Raw genomic sequence first — 25,872 nt, 5'->3', positions numbered from 1 at the left:
GTGACTTGCTTGAGAATGCACAGCTACTAAGTGCCAGAGCTGAGATTTGAACCTCAACCTGTTCACTGTGAGAACAGCCTTCCAAGCTGCAGCCGGGGCTACTTCCCCACCATGTGACCTTGGGCAAGAGACCTTGCCCATCTAACTCTCACTGCAACGACACCAGCAAACACTTACAGGGCTTGTTCTCTGCCAGGCGCAGTTCTAAGTTCCTTACACATATCTGCTCCTTAATCCTCACAAGAACCCTATGAGGTGGGTTTCACTTTTTGTTTTCTTTCATTTTTTAATTTTGATAAAATACACACAACATTTACCATCTTAACTATTGGTGCCTGTACAATTTAGAAGCATTAAGTATACCCATAATGTAGCTCCCTGAACCCTGCCACACCTCTGCAAATACAGTCATGTGTCACTTAACAATGGGAGTACATTGTGAGAAATGTATTGCCTAACATTGTCAGCATCCAGCTCCAGAACTTTTTTCATTTTGCAAAACTGCAACTCCACCCACTAAACAACAACTCCTCATCCCCCTACCCACAACCCCTGGCAACCATCATTCTACTTTCTGTCTCTATAAATTTGATTACTCTAGGGAACTCATATAAGCAAGATCAAACACTATTTGTATTTTTGTGACCGGCTTATTTCACTTGACATAATATCCTCAAGGTCCATCCATGTTGATGCATGCGTCAGAATTTCCTTCCTTTTAAGGCTGAATTACATTCCATTGTATGTATAGACCACATTTTGCTTACCAATTCATTTATCAGTGAACGCTTGGCTTGCTTCCACCTTTTGCCTACTGTGAATAGTGCTGCTGTGAACAGGAGTGTACAAATATCTCTTTGAGAGCTGCTTGTAATTCTTCAGGTATCTACTCAGAAGCAGAATTGCTGGATCATATGGTAATTCTATGTTTAATTTTTTGAGGAACTGGGGCAGGTTCTAATTTTATTTCCATTTTATAAATGAGGGCACTGAGACTCAGAGAGGTTAAGTCTCTTTTCTGAAGTTGCACAGCTGGTATATAGTAGAGTCAGGATTTGAACCCAGGCTGTCTGTGTCCATATAAAATGTGCTAACAATACGCACTTTAGAGGGGTGTCATGAGGATTGGATGTGAGCCTGCAAGGAGTGCCTGTCTCACAGGAGATGCTAAATTTGTGAGGCTATGGCTGTTGTGGGGAGACCAAGGCCCACAAAAGACAAACCAAGTTCCCCACTCCTGGAGGAATGGCCTTGTCAGCAGAGTGGTGGCCGTGGTGGGCCAAGGGTGGGCTCTGGGTGTGGCTTCTGCTGGATGGGGTGGTCAAAGGGACCACTCACCGTGGTGAAGGAGTTGTACAGGTAGTAAATGGCCCAGGAGATGATGACGATGTAGTAGATGTTCAGCCAGAATGATAGCACAGCAGCCGCAAGGCCCACGCCTGGGAGCGGAACACAGACACGCGTCCATTTAATACGGAATTAACATGAACTGTCGTGGCATGTTCCATGACCTCTACAATCTTATTGATCTCGGAGACAGGCATTACTGAGGACACTGAGGCTAAGAGAGAGGCAGTGACTTGCTGAAGGTCATGTACATCTGACAAGCCAGGGGGCCAGGACTCATGTCTGGGGCCCAGTGCAGACTGGTGGCAGGCAGGGCTGGGGTCTCAGCTTGCCGGACGAGGTGAGGCCCAGGCCCTCGGTCAGTGAGCATGACTCACCATGTATCTACCTGGGTGCCTGTCAGGCACTGAGCACGAGGCAAAGAAAGTCACACCCAGCCCTTGCAGAGGAAATAGATGGGCTAACAGGACAGAGCAGGCTGATGTGCGGGGGACTCTGGATTGGGCCTCTCCACCTCCACCTCCCTAGCTTCTGACCAGCACTGTCATCTGCCACCTGGCCCCTTGCAACAGCCCTCACTCTGCTCAGATATGCACCTGGTGGATGGATATGTGATGTCAGCCCTGGTCTGGGTAGACAGCTCGCTCTCTCCAGAGGGCAAGAGGTGTGTGTGGGCAGGGGCACCACCACCCAGGTCCCTGATCTGCAGACTTACCCTTGAACATAGGAGCCAGCTTCCATACCCCTAGCCCCCCGATGGAGGTGTACTGGCCCAGGGAGCACTCCAGCAGGAAGAGTGGGACCCCCGCAAAGATGAGTGTCAGGAAATAGGGGATCAGGAAGGCTCCTGCAGGTAAAGAAGACAGAGCTCGTGGCCCCAAGACTTTCAAGACCCGCCCTGGTAGAGGGAGTGTCGTGGGTCTGGGTCCCCATCCAGTATTTCTTTATACCTGCCTCAAAAGCAGGACCCACAGCCAACCACAGGCCCAAGGAAAGCCATATGTGAAATACATCCCATTTTTTGCAGGTGAATAGATGAATTTCTTGGTATCATTAACAGAGGACAATTGTCCTTCAGGAATCTTTTGATAAAGGGACAAGAAACAAGAAATGGGGCCTGGTGCTCCCTCTGGAGTCTTTAGGGGGGCTTTTCTCCTACAGTTGCCCCAGAAAAATGCCTAAGCAGGATCCTTTTTGCAGGGTCCAGACCCAGCCAGGAGGTCCCCGGGCCAGCACCTACCCCCACCATTTTTCCCGCAGAGATAGGGGAACCTCCAGACGTTGCCCAGGCCGATGGCATAGCCCACACAGGACATGAGGAAGTCGAAGCGGCCCTTCCACGTGTCCCGGTCGGGGAGGTCTGCCGCCTTCTTCTGCACCTTGACCACCAAGGTTTTGGGCTTGTCATTGGCCACAGGGGCCTCGCTGACCTCGGTGGAGATCTGCCCGTCGGCCACCTTGCTGCCGTTGGTCGCCATGTCTCGGAATTTGGACGCAGGGGTCCTGGCAGATGGACGTGCGATGTCACCCCCGGTCCACGTGGACAGCAGTTTTGCGGCTCAAGGGCACCCTAGGAGGACGGGGTGGGTAACAGGCACAGAAAGAGAGTAGGACCTTGGAGTTGCCTCACCCTAAAATGACAAAAACAAAATAACCCATAAACAAGCTAGGGGCTTGAAAAGGCTCTCTATAAGCCCTCTTCCTCTCACCCGCCCTTGCTCCTGGAGGAAGGAAGGTGACTTTTGTTTCCAAAGACACAGCGATGTTTCCTGGCCTAGCTTCAACTCTGGCCATCTGTGTCCAACCCTCTGTTGTATGTCCTGCTCAGAGGAGAAATCTGAGGCCACCAAACTTCCAACAGGAAATGTTAAGTACTTAATCATAAAATCTTTAACTTTGCCTCCAAGGATGCAATTGGGAGCCTTGTCACACTCTGCGGCCATACTAGCCATCGCCAGGGTGAGCAAGAAAGAAGCTCCACCTGTGGCTGAATGGGGAGAAAGGTGTCCCCACTACGGAGGTGTCTGGGTGAAGACGACAGAGCCTAGGAGTTACGACCTCTGATCACAGTCCACTTTACCACATTTTTTTTTTTTTGAGATGGAGTCTTGCTCTGTTGCCCAGGCTGGAGTGCAGTGGTGCCATCTCAGCTCACTGCAAGCTCTGCCTCCCGGGTTCATGCCATTCTCCTGCCTCAGCCTCCCGAGTAGCTGGGACTACAGGTGCCCACCACCACGCCCAGCTAATTTTTTTTTTGTATTTTTAGTAGAGACGGGGTTTCACCATGGTCTCGATCTCCTGACCTCGTGATCCACCCGCCTCCGCCTCCGCCTCCCAAAGTGCTGGGATTACAGGCGTGAGCCAGCCACTGCACCCTGCCCCGACTTTACCACTTTTGAGCTGTGTGACCTTAAGTACACTCAACCTCTGTGTGCCCCTATCTTTTAAAATGAGGATGACACTGGTACATCTCTCACTGGGTTGCAGGAAGTCCTGAGTCTATACTTTTAACAAGCTCTGCCAAAGGAGATTCTTATACTGGTAGCCCAGCCCTGGCCCTCAGCTAAGGGCCACTGGTTTAGATGACCTCTTTCAGCCTTCAATCACCCTAAGATATTCTACTGACACTCTGCAGCCTTCTTACCTTTTTATTTCCAGGGGCAGCGTGGGGTACAGTACAGTGGAGGAAATTGGGCTGAGACTAGTCCTGAGTTCAAATCTCCGGTCTGCCTTCTACCAGCTGAGTACTACTGCTCAGTACTACTACTCAATACTACTACCAAGTACTGCTGTTGTGTGTGCTTAGTTTCCCCATGTATAAAATGGGGGCAATCCCCTCTGGCTTGTAGAGTTGCATCAAAACTCAGCTGTAATCGCTGCAAGAGTGCTTTTCGCCAACCTGGTTAAGAGAGAGAACTCCACTCATGGATGTTGTTACCGGGGCTGTTGACGTTACCTGATGGTCGTCGGGGGTGGGTCAGCTCCAGAAGGCCTCCTTCTGCCACCCTGGGTGAGATCCTGCAAAGCAGAGAAGGGGAGGAGAGGAGGGATGGTGAAGCAGCGATGGGGCAGGCAGGCAGCTCCTACAGAGGGCAGCAGGGGTGCAGGAAGCCTGCCAGGGCGTCTGGGCTGTGCGCGTGTCCCGCAGAGCGTCCCCAGCCAGGGTGGCCGCAGCGAGACCATGCAGCATGGCACTGGCCCTTGGGGTGCTGGGAACATGCAGGAGTGGGGCCCGCTGCCCTCGGGACAGCTGTGGGCGTGGGATGAGGGCAGCGTGGAGAAGACATTCCATAATTTTATCAGAAGAAAAGAGAAACCAACAGAGGGGCTGCTGAGACTTTTCTCTGTCCTCCATCCAAACTTGTGGAAATGTAACAAAAAGACCACGTAAGAACACGAGAAAGAGCACCTTGTTTTGGGGTGAGAAAGGCAGGTTTCTAGACAGTTTATTTCGAATTATCCCATTTTGCCCCCACCCCCCACATCTATTTTAAAAAAGGATATACCCAAAGATGGTTACAATGCTTAGTTTTTGAGTGACTTTCGTTTTCTTCTTTGTGCTTTTTTAATTTCTATAATGCTCTACAAAACTGATTTAAATTAATAATATAACAAAAAATAAACTTATGGAACCCTCAGAACAAACCAGAACATGTGAAGCGGTCTGCATTCCCTCAGAGCTGGGAGCTGCGCCAAAGCAAGGTGCGGCGTGGCCCTGGCCCTCCCCACGCGGCCTCCTCCCCGCAGCTTTGCCCGGCGGGGGCCCAGTCTGCTGTGCACTCGCCCTCCAGCCCCTCGCATGCAGTCCCCATTACCAAACACCATCATCTCCTCCCAGAGTTCACGGAGAACCAGGCCATCTTCAGATAATCCAAACTTTCCTAACACCCCTGCTCCTCGTTCTCAGGGATGGCCTGCTCACTTTGAACTCCTTCACGGCACACAGGCTGGTCTTGGATGCCCATCTAGATCCTGGCCTGGGCATGGCAATGTTAGAGAGAGCTCTGGACTCAGTAGGGTGCCTGCCTCCCCTTCTGGAGAATGGCAGGATAGTAGGAGGCGGCCGATTCTGTGGTCTACCAGGGACTCTTGGGATACGCAGGAGAGAGCAGCCTCAGCCATTAACTCTGGTAACAATGATGCCCTTAACGGTCCCATGATCTACCCTTGTGGGCTCCAGCTGCCATATTTGTTCAAAATGATCCAATCACCTTGAATCAGGACTGACCACCTGACCCAGGCTAGCCAATCAAATTCCTTCTCTGGAATTTGGCATGGGACCCAGGAAGAAGGGCAGTTTTGCTAGTGACTTGGGGACTCTGGGGCAGCCATCCTCTGCCCATCTTGTACTCAGAGTGAGATTTGGTCTGCTGAGGAAGGAGAAAACTAGACATCAAAAGATAGAGTGTCTCAAAGCTCCTAGTTTGCAGTTCCAGGCTTTCTTCAGGCTGGTGCTTGGATTTTACAAAACATTCCCATAGTCATGAAATAGATGTTTTGCTTACATTGGCTTGGGGGTTCCTGTTGCAATCTTAAATCTCTGCACCATCCCTCTGGTTCACCAGGAAGTTCAGTCCATGAGTTCTTCTCCATGACTATATTGAGCACCTCCTCATGCCAAGCCCTGAACGATCAGAGACGGTGGCTGCTCTGAAGACCTCACCATAAAGCAGACATACATGTGATTTCCAATTTCTGGAATACGGGGATATGTATTCAGATTCAGCCAAATGCCTATAATTCCCTAGGAGGAGCCACATGACTATATTTGGAGTTTTCCTTTTAGAAGATGTGGCACATATGAAGATAAACAAAGTAAAGCCATGAATTGATATAACTCATACTTCTTTGAGGATTTAGAACGGAGAAGGCTCTTTGACTTACACAGCAGCAAAGCCACCCTGGTGCTGAGTCAGACAGACCTCGGCTCCCTCCAACACCTACTAATGCTGGGTGAGTTACTTCACCTCTCTGACCCTCATCTATAAAATGGGAAGATAATAATAACTCCTTCCGAGGGTTATGGTGATGATTAAATGAGATCATGTGTGTAAAGCATGTACAACTATGCCTGGCATATAGTTAGGGCTTAGGAAATCTCAGCCATTGTTATCACTGCAATCGCCACCATCTGGGTATGGGTCCATTGTTCTTAATTTGGCATTCGCAACTTCCCAGAAGGCTACAACAACAACAATAATAATACCGAATAACGTTTATTACGGGCTTACTATTCAGGTCTTTCAGTGTCTTCAGCATTTTAAAAAATCCAATGGAAATCATCCTTTTAGTCACCCTGGGGAATACCAGCTAACAGAAATGCCAAGTCTCTTGGCTTTGGGCTCTCTTTGTACCAAAGCAAAGAGGTCTAGCTCAGCACCTTGGGCCAGTCAGAAGCTGGGAGCGGTACATTTGTTTGCTTAGTTAATACAAAAATAGTTATTCTGTAATAAAGTCTGGTAGAAAAAAAAATCCCAATCATCTGGTCCACGGGAGGAAATTGATAAAGAGCCTCCTGCTAGTAGTGAACATGCCTGGGACCCAATGCTTAAATGGAGTGGTCCCAGGAAGCGTGCCTCACCCACACACCTGGGGAACAGTGCATCCGCAATTTTAATTCCCGGCACTTCCCTCTCCTATGAAACATAACATGCAGAAAGCACAGGTGTGTGTGAGTTCACGGCAGGGTAACTTGGCTGTCTTTCTAGAACATTTCTCTGAAGCAGAACCAACCTTTTTGCAAGTTGTTACTTTTCCTTTCCCAAGACACACCCCTGTGTTTTGTGGCTCTCTTGGATCATGTTGGAGGACAGCTCTGCGGGTCTGTAGTGGCAAGACCACGCATTTCTTCCACCTCGCCCTGAGTGCCAGCCTGTGATCAGCCTCCTTTACCTGCTGGTGGAGCAGGCGGAAGAAACACCTCTCACCTTCTCATGATCTGGGCATTTTTCCAAAGCCTTCTTCCAGCGTCTTCCAGTTCTTCTTCATCAGGTGACAACATTCTGCAGACCCAGCATGCGGCTCCACATTCCTTCAGGTGCATACTATACCACGATTAACTTAATTCCACCAAAGCCACGTTCAAAGGGCACTATTAACGTGAGACCACCAGTGATGACATGTCAGGTCCTCTGTACTCACTCACTAACACATTCATTCTGCAAGTATTTACTGAGCACATGCTATGTGCTGAAACGACAATGGAGCCGTCTCTTCAAGCATTTTGTATTCTGAACTACACCCTGGTCACCAGAATCCGAATCAGTGAACTAACAGGTTCCAGCAGAAAGATTCATTTCTGTAAATCCTTACTGAGGCCTCCTATGTGGGTGGAGCTGGGGTGGACACTCAGGGTGTGAGAATTTCATAAGACAAGACCCTTGCCCTTGTCAAGGTCATGGCCTAGAAGGAGAAATATTTCTGCCTATAGCTGATCATAATACCCTGTGATAAGTGCTGCAAGAGGTGTAAGAACAAGACACGGGAGGCCTAGAAGAAACGCATTAATACAGCCAGAGAAAGTATCCTAGGCGAGGCGTCCTTTGAGCAAGGCTTTGAAGGTTGAATAGGTGTTCATCAGGTTTAAAAAGAGAGAAAAGGCGTTCCAAGTGGAGGGAAACACATGTACTAAAGTATACAGTGTGAAGCTAGGAAGGTCAGTATATGAAGGGTCTTGGACACCGGACTAAGGAACCTGGGGACTAGCTGCAGGGATGGGGCAGGGCTGATAATGGGATCAGATTCGTAAACCAGAAGATGACTCGCTCATGGGGCCTCTGGGAAGGACGGAGTTAGTGAAAGACACTCCAGGCAGGAAGATGGTAAAACATTCCCAGGATATCCCATCCTTCCTCAGTGGATGCTCTATGACCAAGTGTTAAAGCCATTGATAAAAATGGGGCCAAACCAAGCACAAAGAATTCCTCTGCCAATCTCTGAATGACAAGATGCTTTGTAGGGAAAGAAAACATGTACAGTTTGGAAGCTCTACATCAGAAGTGGCAAAATGGGTCAAAACTGGCCCTTGGGCTTGTTTTATTTGGCCTGAGCAAAAAAAAAAAAAAAAAAAAAAAAAAAATTCAGTCTGAATTAGGAGCCAGAAATGGGACTCTCTGGGATACAGTATTTCAAACAGAGGGAGCAGCAAGTGCAAAGGCCCTGAGGCAGGAAGGAGCCTGGCACTTTTGAAAGACACCAAGGTGCCCAAGGTGGTTGGAGTCCAGTGTGAGAGGAAATGGATTCAGGCAGAGGTGGTGGGCAGGGGCCAGGTCACACAGGTCTCAGAGGTCACAGCAAGGATTCAGGTTTCATTCTAAGTGGGATGGGAGGAAGTGGGGGTTGAAGTGGTGGGAGATCTGACTTACGGTTAGTTTAAGAGTCTCCCTCTGGCTGCCCAGAAAAGGCTGCATAGGGGCAAGGGGGAAGCAGGGATACATGATCAGAGGCTGCCAGTCCAGAGAGATGATGGTGGCTTGCATGGGGGTGGCTGGATGGGCAGAAGTTGGGGGAAGTGTCACCGACACCCAGGATCTATTCTGGGGGTGGGGCCCGTGGGCCATGGGCCTTGCTGGATGATTGGCTGTGAGCAGCCCAGCCCTGGACCAGATGGCAGGCAAGGGGGAGGGAAGTGTGTGGAAACCGCCTTGGACAATCTCCCTCTGTCCCACTGCATCAGAGGGACAGGCGGCTGCGTGGGGTGGGGACCTAGGCAGAGACCGAGAGGCCAGGGCTGGAGTCTCAGGGCTGCCATTGTCCCAGGCCATGGCCCCGCCATGGAGTGAGTGGGGAGCCCTGAAAAGCCAGGGAATCGAGGACGGGGAGTAGTGGGTCTGGGAGTAGGGCCTGCTCTTCCCCTCCCCCTATCCCCACCCCACTCCCTCCATGAGACTGTGCTCATGCCTGCTTTGCTTTGCTCTCGTTCTGTAATTACAGAAATTACAGAGGCTCGCTTCAGACTGCAATCACTCTAGTTTGCCTTTATTTCTTTTTGAAACTCTGTGGTTTAAGAAAGAAATTAATATTGAGTTTGGCTTCATTCCAAGGGGAAACATAATACAGTTTATTCTCTGCCTTCGGGAAAAATGCTAGGCTCAATCCATTGGACAAGGCTTTATTGAGCATCCGTTGTGTACCCAGACTCATGCCAGCTCCTATCGAAGGAGAAGAGCTAGCATTTATTGAGCGCCTATTGTGTGCCAGGCATTTCACAGGCACTATATCATCCGGGAGTCATTCCATCTATGTAAGCCAGGGCTACCTCACCCATCTGACAGATAAGGAAACAGCCTTGCCAGCCTGGGGTCTCAAATTGCCCAGTGATTCAGGGCCTTGCTTCTCAAAGTGCGGTTCTTCAAGAGACAGCATCAGCATCACCTGGGAGCCTGTCAGAAATGCAGAATCTTGGGCCCCACTCAAGACCTGTGGAACGAGAAGCTGATTTTTAAACAGGTCCCGTGATTTAGGCACATAGGAAAGCTTCAGAAGCTGTTGTTAGGAATGACCCAGATTATTTCATGGGACTTCGTTCAAATCTCTGTGTAATAGGGCTACATATCTGGCTTGCTTGAGTCCCAATTTTCTCATCTGTAAATGTGGATTTCACAGAATTGCTCTGAGAATTGCATGATAATGCATGGAAAGAGGCCAGCCAAGGGCCTGGCACACAGGAAGTGTCAATAAATAGCAGCTTAGGCTGCCACTCAAAGAGATGAATGGCCGCAAAAGTGCTTTGTAATTGAAAAATGTTATACAAATGTGAAGACCAATTAATAGTGGATGATCAGGTACAGAAGGTTAGAGGGAGGTTGGAATTGTGTGGGACAGCCGGTGCTGTGGGCAGTGCTTGCCACGCGCTGTCCTGGAGGTCAGGGAAAGCTCCCTGGAGAAGGTGCTCTAATGGAAAGGGAGCCGCCAGAGAGGGTCTCCAAGGCCCAGCATTTTAACAAGACCTCAGAGGCCAGCCAGGCCTGTGGTGGGATGCAGGCTACAGGAGAAATGAGCTGGTTGGGACAGCTTGGGGTCTAAATGGGAGGCCTCCCTTCTTGGACCTCAGCCCCATGCACAGTGGTGCTTAGGGCCACGACCCAGCTGGTCTCCTTCCTGGTCCAGACTTGCTGCATGCCAAACTGGTGCACCTGGTCTACCATGGCATTCTATAGATGAAGAAAAAAACCCAGCAAGGACTGGTGGCTGGCCCAAGGTCACACAGCCTGAGAGTGGCCTGAACCTTATGGACTCCCAACTCCCAGCCAGCCGCATACTCTTACTCAAGAGATGGAGGAAAGCAGTTTCATGCCTTGGTATAAACCCCTCAGCTGCCTCAACGTACCTGAGAGGGAATTTGCAGAAGCAGGTGTCTTTGTCAGTAGTATTTATCGCGTGCCTACTGTTCACAACATCCCACTGTGATTTTCAAGTAAGCTACTTATTTTCTCAAAGTTTTTGTTTTGGCCGGGCGCGGTGGCTCACGCCTGTAATCCCAGCACTTTGGGAGGCCGAGGCGGGCGGATCACTAGGTCAGGAGATCGAGACCATCCTGGCTAACACGGTGAAAACCCGTCTCTACTAAAAAATACGAAAAATTAGCTGGGCATGGTGGTGGGTGTCTGTAGTCCCAGCCACTCGGGAGGCTGAGGCAGGAGAATGGCATGAACCCGGGAGGCAGAGCTTGCAGTGAGCTGAGATCGCGCCACTGCACTCCAGCCTGGATGACAGAGCGAGACTTCGTCTCAAAAAAAAAAAAGTTTTTGTTTCTTCATCAATAAAGGAGGTCAATAGTAAGCACTTCCCACTCTGTGATGACTGGATTTGAATTTTCTAGCACCGTGCCCAGTTCAGCAAGAGCTAAATACATTGACGCTAAACTGATCATTGGTCCCATTTTGCAGATGATGGCACTAAGGCCCAGAGACGTCAAATGGCCTACCCAAGGTCACACAGGACTTGACCCAGGCCCTCTGAGTTATAGTCTGGTGCTATTTGCTTGTCCAGAAAGTGCCTCCCAGGCGCTGGCCTGTGTGAAATTCCCTGAAACCATTAGACCTATCAGGCCTCATGATCTGATCTGCCCAAGCATGGCTGCTGGATGCCAGAGGGAGAGAAATGTGACTGCATGGAGATGAGTTTGCCTAGCCTCACTGTCCTAGGACAGATGAATAAATGGAAGCTCTAGCCCTTCCCCTCTGCTCTCAGCCTCTGAGAGCCTAGAAGTCAGGTTTTCTAGGACACCTCTGAAACCACAATGTGGAAGAAGGCCAGAGGGCATCCCCACCCCGACAACCCAGGCGAGAACAAATTCAACTTTGCGACTACTGGAATATGACAGACCCATCCAATGGTGAAACAGATTCCAGGAGGATGGTTCTCCTTCTGCAGCCGCCTACAGAAAAGAAAAATTCCCCAACTTTTCATTAACAAGGGGTGAAAGAAAAAGAAGAGCTCAGTACAGGGAGGAAGTGAGCTGGACACACTTACTAATGTGCCGGGGCCACTCTAAATGCTTTCTGTCTATTCAATTGCTTTTAGCCCCCATTTTATTGATGGGTAAACTGAGGCACAGAGAGGTTAAAGTGACGTGCCAAAGGTCTCCCAGTTAGGAGCTAAGGATGCCAAGCCTTGACCCAGGCAGCTGGGCTCCTGTGTCCAAACTCTTAACCACTCTGCTGTCTCTAATGGGGTACCTGTGGAACCCCCCAAACCCTCCATTTGGGGTGTACAAGTATGGCCCGTCCCCAGCAGCCACCTCCCTCCAGGACAAACCTCCACAAGGACAAGGCCTGCTGTTCTTTTTAAGAAACCCAAGAGAGGCTGCTAGCATGAGAGCCTCTGAGTTCTGGCTCCAAAATGGCTTCTACGGTTGCGCTGGACAAAGCCTACAGGTATCCAGGGAGACCCCGGGAGGTCACGTGGGATTCTGGCTGAGCTGTGGGGCTGCAGGCTCTAATCAGAGTCCCCAGGAGGCAGCCAGCCTCTAGGGGCAGCACTCCCCTCTTGGAGACCCCAGCTCTCCTCCAACTGCAGACATGGCTCGTGCCTTGCAGCTGCTGCGAGGAGCTGACCTGAGGAGGAAGGGCAGTTAGCTTGACGCCCTGAAGTCCAGTAGACACAGGTTTGAAATCTCTCTCTAAACTTACTAGCTGTGTGACCTTATGCCAGTCCCTTCCCCTCTCTGTGCCTCAGCTTTCTTCTGTGTGCAAGCAGGACAGTCAGACTCCAATTTCCAGCTCCACTTCACTCTGATCCAGTCCTGCTTGTCTCGCTCACACGATCAGTGGTTTACTAACGTCTGTTCTGGCCCCTAATTATCTGTAGTGCCCAACTGAGAACTTCATTTTGTCAAGGCAATTTTCAATCTGATCCGCATCGACTGTGCACCTCCGGGGAGCCGGGCCTCATGCTGGGTGCTGAGGGACAAAGATGCAAGTTGGAGTCTGAGTCCTGCTGCCACTGAGCTCTCGGGACAGCTGGGAGATGGGCCATGGACAATCCACATCCACGGGGTAAGTTCTTCCACAGCACGCAGAGAAGGAGAGGTGGCACCCTGCCCCGGGGTCTGGGTTCAGGCAGGCAACTGGGAGGGGTAGCATTGCGGTTGGTGGAAAAGGGAGCAGAAGTGGGGATATTTTTCAAATAATCACAGCTAGAGGAGCAGGACCGGACTCCTTGCTTTTAACTGCAACCCTAACCACTCCTGGTCCATTCCAGGCAGATAGAACAAAGCCAAAATACAGAACACATTTGGAGACAGTGAGGAGGCTTGTTGGGGGCTAGAATCTGGGGTGATTTAGGGGAACGTGGCCAGGAAGCCGCCAGTAGTAGTAAAGAGCTCTGATGCAGGAAAAGAGGGCGCATCTTACCCTGTAATAAGAATGATGATCACACCGAAGGCTGAGGAAGTGCTTAATATATTTACTGCATTTCTGTACTGCACACTGTACAGATGAGGAAGGCGAAGTTCAGACAGTAAAACAACTTCCCAGCTCCCAGACACTGCAGTTTGATTCCAAAGCCCATGTTCTTAACTATCCCTCTCCACTGTGGGCATGGGGTGGTCACCAGGGCTGCCACCTGAACCGTGGAAGATGGGGAGATTTGATGTGATGGTGACTTGGCAAGACCGCCCAGCAGCTGTGTGGGGAGGAGGAGAGGAGAGGGAGCATGGGTGGAGGTTGCTGTAACAGGGATGGTGCAAGGATAAGGGACAGCGCCTGAACCAGGACCATGGTGGGGGCGAGGAGGAAGGCCTGGTCGCCCTATACAACATGGCTTCTCTCGTGACTAATTACGGATTCTTCTCTCTTAGCTTCCCAGCTGCACTGTCACCTATGCAAGAACGGGGCCCAGGTCTTCCACCCGCTCTGCTTCCCCGACAGCAGGCAGCTTGAACAGTGCTAGATATGCATGCGCTCTTCTGGGTTCTGCCCTCTATGGCAGAGGACATTGTTCTTACAAGGCCTCAGCACAGAAACGTTTGCTTGGGAGAAGGTGGCAGGTCTACAGAGCAATGGTGTGCTGGTAAGCTTTAACAATGGGCTCTCAGGAAACAAAACAGAAGACTCAATTTGCAGCATCTGCTGATTTCTGTGGTGTAAACACTCCCACTGTGGCCTGTGCAAGGTACTAATATGAGGTCATAGGATTGGGTATGTGCCATCTGTGAGCAGGCTCCAGCACACCACTGAGCCTTAGGCCTGTTTCTTCTTGTGGGGCCAGTGAGGCATGCTCTCGGGCAGAAACTGGCCTTGCTTCCTGAGTGGTTTAATGCTGGAAACTCTCTTGATTGCTTCCTGTAAGGAAAGCCCTGGATGTCAACCCCTGGGCTGGCCCTGGAGCGCATGCTGGGGCTGGTGGGTGCCCGCAGAGACGTCTGCTGCAGGATGAGGAACATCGAACCCTGGGATCAGACACAGGAACTCAGAGGCATCTCCCTGGGTGGATTTGAAAGAGTGGAGAGGGATGGAGAGAGAGGAGGGTGGGAAGGAGGGGAAAGGAGAGAAAAGGGTATGGAAGGAGAGGAGGAGAGAAACAGACAAGGAGGAGGCTGGGGTAAAGGAGCAGAGTGATGAGGAGGAAAACAGGAGGAAGAAAGGAGGAGCGCAGGAAGGGATCAGAAAGGGGAAAGAGGAAAAATAAGGGCAGAAGGAAGGAAGGACAGAAGAGAAAACAGATGCGCCATTCACTGCTTGTGAGCTGGGCAAGGCTCCACTGTGTCGCTCACTGAACCCAAGGAGGGAGGGAAGGAGCCTACCTTTCAGCCAAGAGAAGCCTGAGGTTGGCGGAGGCCAAGGTCAAAAGCGGCTGAGGAGCCGGGATTTTTGAACCCAGGCTGCAGGGCCTGTTCCACTGACTTCCTTCAGTTGGTTCTGACTGTATTTGCTGGGGGCCAGCCCATTAGTCTCAACCTTCCACTCAGGGCAGCTGTCTCCCATTGCCAGCTTGAGCACCCAACCCTGTGCTGGGCACGAGGGCGAGCCCCTGTGGAACAGGTCCGGGTGCCCACCCTCTGCACCCTCACCACCTGTTCCAGGCTCCTTTCTTCCTCCTGCCTCTGAGGGGTGTGGGGCTTTCTGGAGGACTTCAGTTCCAGGGGACGCCTCTGTAAAAGCCCTGTGCTCAACCGGCCAGAAAGGACTGACTTAGACCAGGAAATAAGAGCGGCACGATGACCTTTTGCCATTCTTTTACATCGCTCTTTGCCTTTTAAAACACACTTGTAAGAAGCCCGTGGGGTTAAAATAGCTGTTCATTCCTGTTCAAGATGTGCTTGGAAGGCTCCGACGGGCATTAAGATAAAGGCCCTTTAAGCATTCAGATTTGGGGAAAAGAAAAAATAACACTGCAAGGGCTGGCTGAACTAAACGATGAACTAAATAAGTGACGTGCAGGAGCACAGCCCAAACAGAGAGCTGGCTTAGGGTCGCAGAAGGCATATCCGTGACAGTGGCTGCAGACAGCGCCATGGCTCCTTATTAAGTGTCCACACCTGGGACTGCATTTCTCTCTCAGCAGCTCTGCAGGCTCTATCAGCCCCTTCTAGAGACAATCAGACTGAGCCCCAAAGAGAAACTGTCTGGATCAAGATCACACAAGGTCACAATAAGAACCACCAGGGATCTCAACGTGGTGGTTTTGAGCCGAATGGGTCCCACAGCTATGCTTGATTGAGTGGTATCAGATTTGAATTTTAGAAATTGAACTTGCATGCTTTGGAGAAGGGAAGTGGTGATGTGTTTTCTAGTTTACTACAAGTCCCACCATTACTGTCATCCTATCGCTGACCTCTTTACTCATTTCTGTGACCTGTCTGGCCCTCAATGGCCCCTGAATTTGCAATCCTTGTATACACGGTACAATCTTAGTCACTCAGTAGAACTCTTTCTCTAAGCAGTGGAAGATGGATGAGGGTTAATATTGCCCCTTTCCTGGGGGATATGTCAAACTCTTGGGGGTGGTGAAGTTTGAAAAAGCATGTTTGGTGTTATAGTTTTATATTTGGGAAACAACAAATCCTATTGGTCTCTTAATAAAAGCTCAGTTGGATTTAAAAAACCGCAGAGAGACTCTGCTTTAGAATAGTCTGCAAGAATGAGGGAGGCGTGTATTTTCAGAGTCAATTAAGGGTCAGATTCCAGGGTCTAAAATATTTTCCCACAATATAAAGGCTAATTTTATTTTTAAAAGACTTGAATGCTCACGTTCACCAGTGCATCTGTTCTTGACTCACTCACTTAGCTGTGGAAAGGAATTTTATGGTATAGAGCCCCTTGTTTTTGTAAAGTGGAAACTCCTATGTAGCAAGAACAGTCTACCCATTTGGTAACATCAGATTCTTTTTTTTTTTCTGAGACAGGGTCTCACTCTGTCACCTAGGCTGCAGTGCAGTGGCATGATCTCGGCTCATTGTAACCTCTGTCTCTCAGGCTCAAGCAATCCTCCCACCTCAGCCCCCTACGTAGCTGGGACTACAGGCATGTGCCACCATGTCTGGCTAAAAATCAGATTTTTATTGAACAAATTTTCTTTAAGTCCCATGAACAATGAGCAATGCCCTCTTCTGCCTGCCCCTATCATGGCTCCTGACAAACAAACTTCTGATCACTCTATGATATCCCAAGCAGCAGCTCTTCATAAGTATGCCCATTGTTCGTGGGACTTAAAGAAAATTTGTCCTTCCCTAGGGGCAAGGACACCCAGTTTTGAGTTTCAGCTCTGGTTCAATGCTGTGTGACTGTAGGTTAGTCATCTACTCTCTCTGTCTAAAACAGAAGTGATAACACCTACTTCTAGGGCTGCTATGAGGATTAAATGGGGAAATATGTAGTTAGTACAGCATCTAGGACATAGTAAATGCTTGATACCTGGCAGATATTATAATAAACCACCTGATCAGGGCTTTCATTTATATTTTTAGTTAGTGATGGGAAAAAGTCCTGGGTGGAAGGCAGGCCAGTGTTATCTTTTTTTGTTGTTGTTGTTGAGGCGGAGTCTTGCTCTGTCGCCCAGGCTGGAGTGCAGTGGCGCAATCTCAGCTCACTGCAAGCTCTGCCTCCCGGGTTCATGCCATTCTCCTCCCTCAGCCTCCCGAGTAGCTGGGACTACAGGTGCCTGCCACCATACCTGGCTAATTTTTTTGTATTTTTAGTAGAGACGGGGTTTCACCGTGTTAGCCAGGATGGTCTCGATCTCCTGACCTCATGATCCGCCTGCCTCAGCCTCCCAAAATGCTAGGATTACAAGCGTGAGCCACTGCGCCAGGCCCAGTGTTATCTTAACCTATAGGCAATCAATATAAAGGAATGGTGGGAGTCACTGGGAGATGCTGATTGAATCAAATTCTTAGGGCAAATTGTTTATTAAACATGATTCCCAAAGTGGACATGTGTATGTATCTTGCAATTTGGCACACCCATTAAAATCCTGGTTAAATGTCAACCGTCTTTATTTGTTCACTGAATCAGTCTCCCTGACCCTTCTCCTGCCTGCATAGAATAGGGGTGTCAGGATCCAAGGTCGTCAGCTCATTGCCTCATAGCTTGGCATCCAGCCCCAGAAACAGCAGCAAACAAATGACCCTCTCTCTCAGGGGACCCAGAAACAGGTTGCTATCTCTGGGGGTGGATTTGCTCAAACAGGTTTGCGGAAACAAACAAAATGGTTGCTTGCATCTCAATCATCAGGATCCCAGCTCTTACCAGCGCTTTTCAAACAGCCAAATGCCTGAGTCCAGCACCCTCTTTCCGCTTCCAAAATGGAATGGGGTTGTCTGCCAGCCTGCATCTTTGCCAGCATGCAAATGATGCACTTTGGGGTTTCACAGGGTATTAACCCCATGTTCTCCAATCCCTGATTAGGGAGGTAAGTACACTGAACCAGCTGTGCTTCTAGAAGAGAAACTAGGTGGGTGGGTGAGAGTGTTTATTTTCCAAAAGCGTTTGCAGCATGGGGTCATTTAGATAGCTGGCACAGAGAAAACACACATTCCCTCAGTGAGGTGTGCATGGAGGTTTTTAAGGACAGTACATTTGCAGTGAGGTACAACATTCACACTCTTCAAATGCAAAATATTTATGTATATTTTTGGTGATGGAGCTGTTCATTTGTTCTAGTGATATTTACTAGCCTGGAATGAAGAGCCCTGTTATGTATCATGCTTGTACTGTGTTAGCCAGTTTCGCTCTTCCAACACCACAAATTACAAGCTGATACATGGTTGGGAGTGGATCCTTTTCCCAGCCTCTCCCCTTTGGTTCATAACAACAGCTGCTGGTGATTGAGCTATGGCCAGGATTGGGGCTCGATGCTTTATCTTCCTCATGATATGCAGTCTCACCACAATCCTATGAGGTAGGTGCCGGCATTATCCCCATTTTGCAGATGAGGACACTGAGGCTCAGAGAGAAAGTGACTCATCCAGGATTACACAGTTTAGTAAGTGGCAGGGAGAGATGTGACTTTGGCTCCAAAGCTGATGCTTTTAGCTATGCTGACATTCTGTTTTCTCTTCCTCTTGGGCTGGAATTGTCATTCCTGGACCATCAGGACCTCCACAAGCACTTAAGACTTTAGAGAGGTCTCCATCAACCATCCCCTGCCCCTGCAGGTGAGCCTCCTTCCAGGCCCTCCCTATAGCCTAGGCCCCCGTGTTGGTTGGAGGTATAATCCCAGCTCTGGCTCTTTCCTGGTTGTGTGACCTGGGATGAGTCACTTCACCTCTCCTCACCTGACTCTGCACCTCCACGAAGTGCAGGGAAGTATCCCATTCTGACAAGGCTGTAGGAAGGATGGAAGTAGAGAAGGCAATTTGCCCCACCCCTACCAGTCCCGCACCTCCTTCTTGGGGAAGCTCGAGTTCTAGACACGGTCCCCTCCACTCTCCTCTTGTACTCACTCTCACTCTAGCAGGTCCTGAATCAGCATTCAACACACATCGCTCTGCCTTGTGCAACGCCATTATCTCCCGAGGACACAGGCTCCGTTGTCACGGCAACCAGAGTCCTTCCACCAACTCTATTTAATAATTTCTTAACGGAGGAGCTGGGCTGGCTTGGTGGAAGGGAAAGAGCACTGGGTTAGGGGTTAGAAGCTCTGGGTCCTAGCCTCTGCAAGACCTAGGACTCTTCCTCTCTAGGCCTCAGTTTACCCATCTATAACACAGGTGTGTCTGAAATGGGTGGGTTTTGTGATGTTCTCTAGCCTACAAAGACCTGAGAAACAGCTTTCCAGGTCCAGGAAGCTGGGAACAAGTGACCTGAGCTGCTGGAGATGAATTGGGGGTTGGAGTGAGATTTGAGTGAGACCCACAGGAAGAACCAGATGCTGCCTTTGGTGACTACACTCTCTCTCTCTGCTGAATTTCCTCCAGAATGTCACTCTTCAAACATTCATGAGGTCTCTGTGATCCTCCAGATTCAGGGCCAGGATTGGTTAGGAGACAGTTGTTTTGCCTGCAGCCATCATGGCCCTTATCCTCCCCATTTTGCAGATGTGCAAACTGAGGCTCAGAGAGGGCAAAGGAGTCGCCTGTGGTGCCTCAGCAAGTGGAAAACCCGGCTCTTCATCCAGGTCATGGCTTGTTTCAGAACCTGGGGCTAAGCTGTCCAGGAAGGTCATGTTGCTTGTACCTGAAGAAGACAGCCTGACCCTGGCCCAGTCCCTCTGCCCACCGATCTCACTCTGGCCACAATCTGTGTGGCCTCTGGCTCTCATTCAAGGAACCAGCAGATAATCAAAGTAATACAGAGGTACCCACTCTGTGTTCTTGACTATGGGACCAGAGACTCCAAACAACACAGCATTCCTGCTCTTAAGGAATCTACGGTTTTCAATGCAAGTGGATCTTCAAAGGGCAGGAACAGCATCCAGTTTCTTTCTACAATCCAAAATAGGACCTGGCACACAGTAGGTGCTCAGAGTTTTATTCGGTCCAATTGTTTGTCCACATCTGCCCCTAAGGATAACTAGTCTAGGCCCCCCAGGGGCCTTTAAGAAAATCTCCCAAAGCAGCCACCGATCCATGTCTCCAAGGAGCTGCTTCGGACCCTGAGCTGAAGAGGGGTCTGTGACCAATGAGGGGACCCTTACTTTGTGACTCCTGTCTAGCTCCAAGTTTGGGGAGGGGGCTGCTCTGCCCCGGCCCGGTTTGATGGCATCACTTTTAAGCACAGACGTTGCCAGATCAGTGGTGCTATTTAACTCCTCCAGGGCTGGCGTTTTCATTTAATACCCGTGGAATAATTAACAGTGCTGCATCTGCTCTGTCATTAGTGGCATTCACTGCCATTTGGAGAAAGGGCTCTTATCTTCCTCAGTCATTAGTCTCGGGGAGGCTATTATGGGGGAAATGGAGGAGGAGAGGAGGAAGTGGGGCGTGCAACTTCCCTCCCCTTGCCTGGAGAACTGGCGCCTGGTGCGGGGAGCAGCCGATCATCCTATCCAATGGTCCAAACCTCTTGGCTGTATGAACTGAGCATGCAAAGCCAAGAGGGGAAAGAACCTGCCCACGGTCCCCCACAGGCTTGAGGCCCAGCAGAAGGCGGCTCTCCCACTTCTTTCTCAGGTCTGCAAGCCCAAGCCTCGGAGCCCTGCAGCTTTGGATCTGATTCCCAGCTCTGCCCTGTGTCAGTGGTATGACCTTGGGCAACTTCTTGAGCTCCCTGAGCCTCAGTTTCCTTATTGAGGATCCTGGGACAATGCTTGTGAAGTACTGGCTCAGTGCCTAGGTCACAGGCAGAGCCCAAGACTGAGAGATGTACATATCAGATCATTCTGTGTCATTATGCTGAACCAACCTGCTAAAAATGCATATGTAATACATGCGTGCATTTAAATTCCATCTTTCAAAAATACTCTTCAGTAAGATGACTTCTTCTCTCTCCCCAGGCCTACTTTTTATTATTATTTTTTTAATCATAGGTGGGTCCTGGATCTTAAGCTCTGGAAACATCTGACTTGGGCGGAAAGGGGCTTGGTCAGCTCAGGCGGCAGTGAAGCCTGGATTGCAGGCTGGCAGCTCAGACGGTGCCCAGGAAGCTGGTAGCTTTTGCTTTTGGCCACTTTTATTTTGTATTGCTTTCACTTTTTCTCAGCCCTTGCATGGCACAGCCAGAAATGGCGAATACAGAGAAAAAGCCCCTGGCTCCCCAACAGTTATCTTGTCTCAGGTGCTTTTCAGAAGCAGCATGAGGTTGGCATCACCAAGACCTGGGACCAAACTTGGTCTGTGCACCCTGTGGCAAGTGACTCCACCACCCTTGGGCTCAGGGTCCTCTCTGGCAGAAGGAGAGAGTAGCACCTATCATCCAGTATCAGCCTTGGCTCAGGGACCAGTGCCCAGCAGGCCCTCTGAACTCACTGTCAGGGCCCAGCTGGACAAGTTCTCTCCCCACCATCCAGCCAGGGAACTGTCAAACCCTCAGGTCTCTTGCCTCCCCCTGCACCCCAGAGGGAAGCTCCTAGAACTCATGATATTTCACAATCTCCAGCATGGCAACAGTCCAAAGGCAGAGGTGAGTGATCCCTGCCCTCTTGCCTGGGCATGGCTCAGAAGCACACAGCCTGCTCCTCCAGTGGGTCTGAGCTGAGGCTCACATACAAACACTCCCCACAACCTTCCTGGCTACCAAGACCTTTAGATCCTTCTATGAAATCTCATGGGGTCCCTGGTGTTCATTTCTCCCCCAATTCACCGAGAAAAGCATTCTTGTGTGCACATAGGTGTGTGAGAGCAACCATCCCTTCCTCTCCCTCCAGGCCTGGTTACTGCTGGGACCCCCCGGCCAAATGATCACACTTTGGACCCCAAACTCTGCGCATAACCAAGGAGATGTTAATCTCTGGCCAGAGCTCAGGTAAGGTTACAAGATGCTACGGCCCTTTTCTCCCCAGCCTCACAGCCGTGCCTTCCCACGCTCTCTTGTAAGTCTCGATCTTTGAGTGCTCTGTGCTCTGCCTCCTACCAGATCTGGCCTCATCTGGGCTCCTTCTCAAGGGGCTACCTGGTGAACTTGGATTTCAGCCTAGCAAAGGTGATTTTCATCAGCTGGGAAACTAGGGGACAGAGATGAGGAGTCAGGGCTCACTGAGCCTCAGGTTCATCTTTTGGATGGGGATAATAATGGTACCAATAATAACAATAAAATTACCTTCACTTGAAGTTCCCAGGGCTGTCACAAGCTTCGACTGAGAAAACACTTTGAAAACTGAAATTCTACATAAGTGTTAACGTGTGCATGTACGCACATGTGTGCAAAGGAGCCTCATTTGGGTCAAGGTCATTCTGATTTGGGCTTTATAAGAAAACTAGCTTTAAAAAAATCACTCTTTATTGGAGAGAGGATTCTTCTCCAGGATCTCAAGGACCATATTTTCTTCCCCTGGAATACTTCATACATGATCAAAAGAAAAAGCAGCTGCAAGAGCATTTTTAGCAAAGTATAAAGTGCGGTTCTGATGACCGGGAGTATCGTGATCAGCGCTAAGTTGCAGCAAACCGCAACACTGATACCAAATGTCTTTGCTCACCTCCCTGTGGCTGCTGCCCTCTCCCTGCACAGAATCTCCTTATCAAACTACACAGCCATGAAAGCAACCTGCTGTCGATGTTTCAGGGCATCTTTGACCTTGAATGTCCCTCTGGCCAGGGCTCAGTTATCTCAGGAGCTGGCGTGAGACACAGAACTTGCAGACACCAGGCAGCTGACAGGTGGGCAGAGCTGCAGGTCACCGTCCAAGGCAGTCACTAACTCCTGCATCCCCAAGCCTGGCCTGTGTGCCAGGATCCCATCCAGCCCCAGCAGCCAGGGGGCCCCTTTCACAGCCAACAGTGCCCCTGGCATCCTAAAGTGGCCTGTTCCACCTAGTTGTACATCCCCTGCTTTCAGAGCACCACAGCCAATCTCGCTGCAAGACCTGGCCTCCTTGTAATTTCCAATTTGTGAGAAATGTAAAAATAGAAGACCATTCGCTGCAGGCAGCTTGCATAGAATCGGATGCCACTTCTGTGTCATGTCAGATCACGGTAAATGCAGCTGATGGCTTTGTCAGGGCACTCTCAATAGCTTCCTGAGCAGTAAGATGGTGGGGACAAAATTGGGGGATACCCGAGAGTTAGGGAAAGGTGGCTGAGTGCATGACATCAGCACTAGCTGCAAATGAATTTAAAATCTAGGTCCCAAATATGTTGTAACAGGCTGGACATCTCAATTTGAACCCCAGTTCTGCAACCTAGCAGCTGAGGGACCTTGGGCACAAATTCATCTCTCTGCAAGTCAGCTTCCCCAGTTATCACGCAGAAGCTATCATGCCACCCAGCCTCCCAGAGCTGTGGCAAAGCTCCACAGATGGAATGGATGAAGAAGTGCTTTGTAAACTGTGCAGCTCCTTAACTGGGGTGGAGGCAGCGGGGGGCGCTCATGGTCATTGCCAAGTAAGCAGTGTCAGGGGCTTTTAGTGGCAGAGATTTAAGCATGCTGTGACTGAGTTTGGGCTTTAAGGCTATTTACCAGCCCAGTGATCCTGCAGCAAGTGCTTTAGCCCCTCTCCTCCTCAGTTTCCTCACCCTGACAGGGATCATTATGCTACGTATCTCACAGGGTTTTGTGAAAATTAACTGCAACGATATAAAGCACACAGCACAGTCCCTGGCATATTGCCAACATGCAGTAACTGACAGTTATTACTGTTTTTGATACAATTGCATTGGAACAATATTTAGTGTTTTCTTTCTTTTCTGTTTATGACTGAATTCCAGGTCTCTGCTGAAATATCACAGCTTGCATTCACACCTACTGCCTATGCCAGGCAACTCTCCTGTCTGCTACTGGCCCACTTCCCACTGACTCCATAGCCCCTTCCCCTGACCCCAGAGGTCTTAGGTGAGCATGGAGTAGATGAAGATGCTGGATGTTAATATGCTCACTGAGACCCATTTCCTGGGAAGTCCTATTTTGGGGTGCACATCTGGCCTCCCAATCTTTTCTTTTTCAAGCACCAACCTCTTCCCCTCCATCTCCCAGTGCCCTTCAGAGAATGGGGTAAAGTTGGCAAGAAGAGCCACCCGTGCAGGGCCTGTCTGAGAAGCCAGCATCGAGGCATGCCAAGCCACAGAGCAGTGGACACAGGATGATCTTTTCACCTTGTGGGGGAAGTGCCCAATGCTCTTGGCAACTGAAGTCAATTCGAGGTTGCTGTCATTCAGCGGGGCTATACCCTGCCCACCATTCTCCAGGCACAGAGAAGCTCAGGCGACGTTGCATGGGTGAATTGAAGGGGTAGTCCCGACACAGGCATAGACAGGCCTGCTGACGCTTGCATTTTAGTTTTCATTTGGGCAGAGAGGGGATGAAGTGGCTCTAACTGGGTTTGGCATTGGGGCTGTGGCTGAGGAGAGGGGCTGCTGGGGCGGGGGTGGTAGTCAAGGGGAAGGTGGGCACATTTTGGGCTAGGCAACAGGGATGGGCTTCTAAGGACAAAGGAGATGGACTTCAGGATGCAGGTGGCTAAAGGTGGTGGCAAGGCTGAATCAACGGTCATTAACACTCTGCCTGAGACCCATAGACAAGCAAGAGGGTGGAAAAGACATCTCCAAATTCCAAGTAGCATGGAACTCTATCTCAGCTGCTGAGCTCACAGCCAAGCCAAGGAATGGAGTCTTTGTGTGATGGCAAGAAGTGGCCTGATATTGGTGCTTTATTTATTTCATGGTGCTCTCCACATGTCATATGCCACCAAGGTAGAGGACCAGCCACTGCTCCCATGGCAGGCCCACGGGAACTACCACCCCATCACTTCACTTTACAGATGGAAAAACCGAGGCCCAGAGACCCACAATAGGACAGAGTTGGCCTGGAAATTAGAACAGTAGGGTTAAGATCCCTGCCCTTCCTCCTCCTGGCTATGTGACCTTTGACAAGTCACTTCCCCTCTCTGCATCCAGTTTCATCGCCTCTGAAGTGGGGATTAGAATAGTGCCTGCTCCACACGGTTCTTGTAGGAATAATCCCTGGCACATTGGAAGCTTTGGGTACTCCATTCCTTCCTTCCAACAGGAACAAGAACGTACCCAAGGTCACCTGGCCAGAAATGGCAATGCCCCAGCTCAAAGCAAACCCTCATCTGGGGCTCGTTCATTCCCGGCTATGGACTAAGGGGCCACATTTTATAGCCTTCCTGGCTCAGTGAGACAGGTACAGATTGCAGGTAGGTCCATGCCAGTGATAGCATCACCTTCCATCCATGCAGGCTTTATTCTAAGAGGTTTATTGAGGTCCTGCTGTGTGCTGGGCCACGTGTAAAAAAATTTATAGCCTCTGCTGCTCCGGGGTCACCAGGCATGTAAAATCCGTGGCAGGCAGGAGAGACGTGGCCACTGTGCATCTTTTGGCTTCGATGGACTTGATTTTGCCTCATCTTTACCCTCTAAGCTACCTACTCCTTGGTCTCCAGACATCCTTCCCAGCCCCATCTAAGTTCCTGGAGACCCACTTCTCATCAAGCCTCCAGACCTGAAATAAAGTGTCCCACATCAGGACAGAGGGTCCCTGATTTTACCTCCAGAGTGGCTGCCTCTCTCCTGTGTGTTCCTAGGGGAACCCCACTTTCCAGATGCTCTGCCAGACAGGCCGGGCTGCGTCTCTCTGCTTGGGACTCACTGTTTGTCCTCCAAGGACTGGCCACTGAGCCAGTGCTTGGCTGGAGACAGAGCTCTTTCTTTGTTTGCTGCCTGCCTGACGATTTATTTCTGAGGCTCAAGGGAGGCTCAGCCATTTTGCCAGGGCTGCTCTGGGAAAAGGTCTGTCCCACTCCCCCAGGGACTCCCACTTCTAAGGGCAAGTTCTTTTTCCCCTTCTCTGCCTTGGAGAGGGTCTGTCCTGCCCCAATCAGACCCTGATCTGGAGCTGGGTCAGTCCTTCCCAATGTGCTCCAAAGATAAAGAGATAACATGCAAAATGCGAGTAGCTTTCACTGACCTCTTTTGTTTTGGAATTTGGGGGACTGGGGTAGCAGCCTTTTTGGCTCCCTTAGGAGGAC

General features: G+C 50.1%; 1 protein-coding gene and 1 long non-coding RNA gene across 10 annotated transcripts in view, besides 1 other annotated feature; one reads left to right on the top strand and one right to left on the bottom strand.

Moving 5' to 3' along the window:
• Positions 1-25,872, bottom strand: part of SLC6A1 (solute carrier family 6 member 1) — a 46,500-nt gene that overhangs the window by 19,211 nt on the left and 1,417 nt on the right. Inside the window, exons 1-6 of one of the 9 annotated variants that reach the window (XM_017007071.3) lie at positions 7,275-8,396; positions 5,163-6,005; positions 4,304-4,365; positions 2,588-2,978; positions 2,063-2,194; positions 1,339-1,439 (exon numbers count right to left, since the gene is read on the bottom strand). In XM_017007071.3, coding sequence (XP_016862560.1) covers positions 1,339-1,439; positions 2,063-2,194; positions 2,588-2,825 — 471 coding nt within the window. In that variant the 5' untranslated portion in view covers positions 2,826-2,978; positions 4,304-4,365; positions 5,163-6,005; positions 7,275-8,396. Of the gene's footprint in view, positions 1-1,338; positions 1,440-2,062; positions 2,195-2,587; positions 2,979-4,303; positions 4,366-5,162; positions 8,397-25,872 lie in introns of those variants that run through there. The other 8 variants (XM_017007072.3, XM_011534027.4, XM_005265411.6 and 5 more) reach the window with 8 other exon arrangements.
• On the top strand, positions 813-13,939 carry SLC6A1-AS1 (SLC6A1 antisense RNA 1). Its single transcript, NR_046647.1, has 3 exons — positions 813-917; positions 12,658-12,845; positions 13,649-13,939. It is a non-coding gene; the product is annotated as an SLC6A1 antisense RNA 1 (long non-coding RNA).
• Positions 22,437-22,606: an enhancer, noted in NCBI's record as "experimental_64297 CRE fragment used in MPRA reporter constructs". NCBI's record gives its function as "activates a minimal promoter by MPRAs in K562 erythroleukemia cells, with activity observed for the non-introgressed 3:11039202 variant allele {active_cell/tissue: K562}" and the evidence as "EXISTENCE:reporter gene assay evidence [ECO:0000049][PMID:34662402]".

The sequence above is a fragment of the Homo sapiens genome, chromosome 3 (genome assembly GCF_000001405.40).
Source record: "Homo sapiens chromosome 3, GRCh38.p14 Primary Assembly".
Classification (NCBI taxonomy): domain Eukaryota; kingdom Metazoa; phylum Chordata; class Mammalia; order Primates; family Hominidae; genus Homo; species Homo sapiens.
This window is presented reverse-complemented; position numbering and strand designations above follow the sequence as displayed.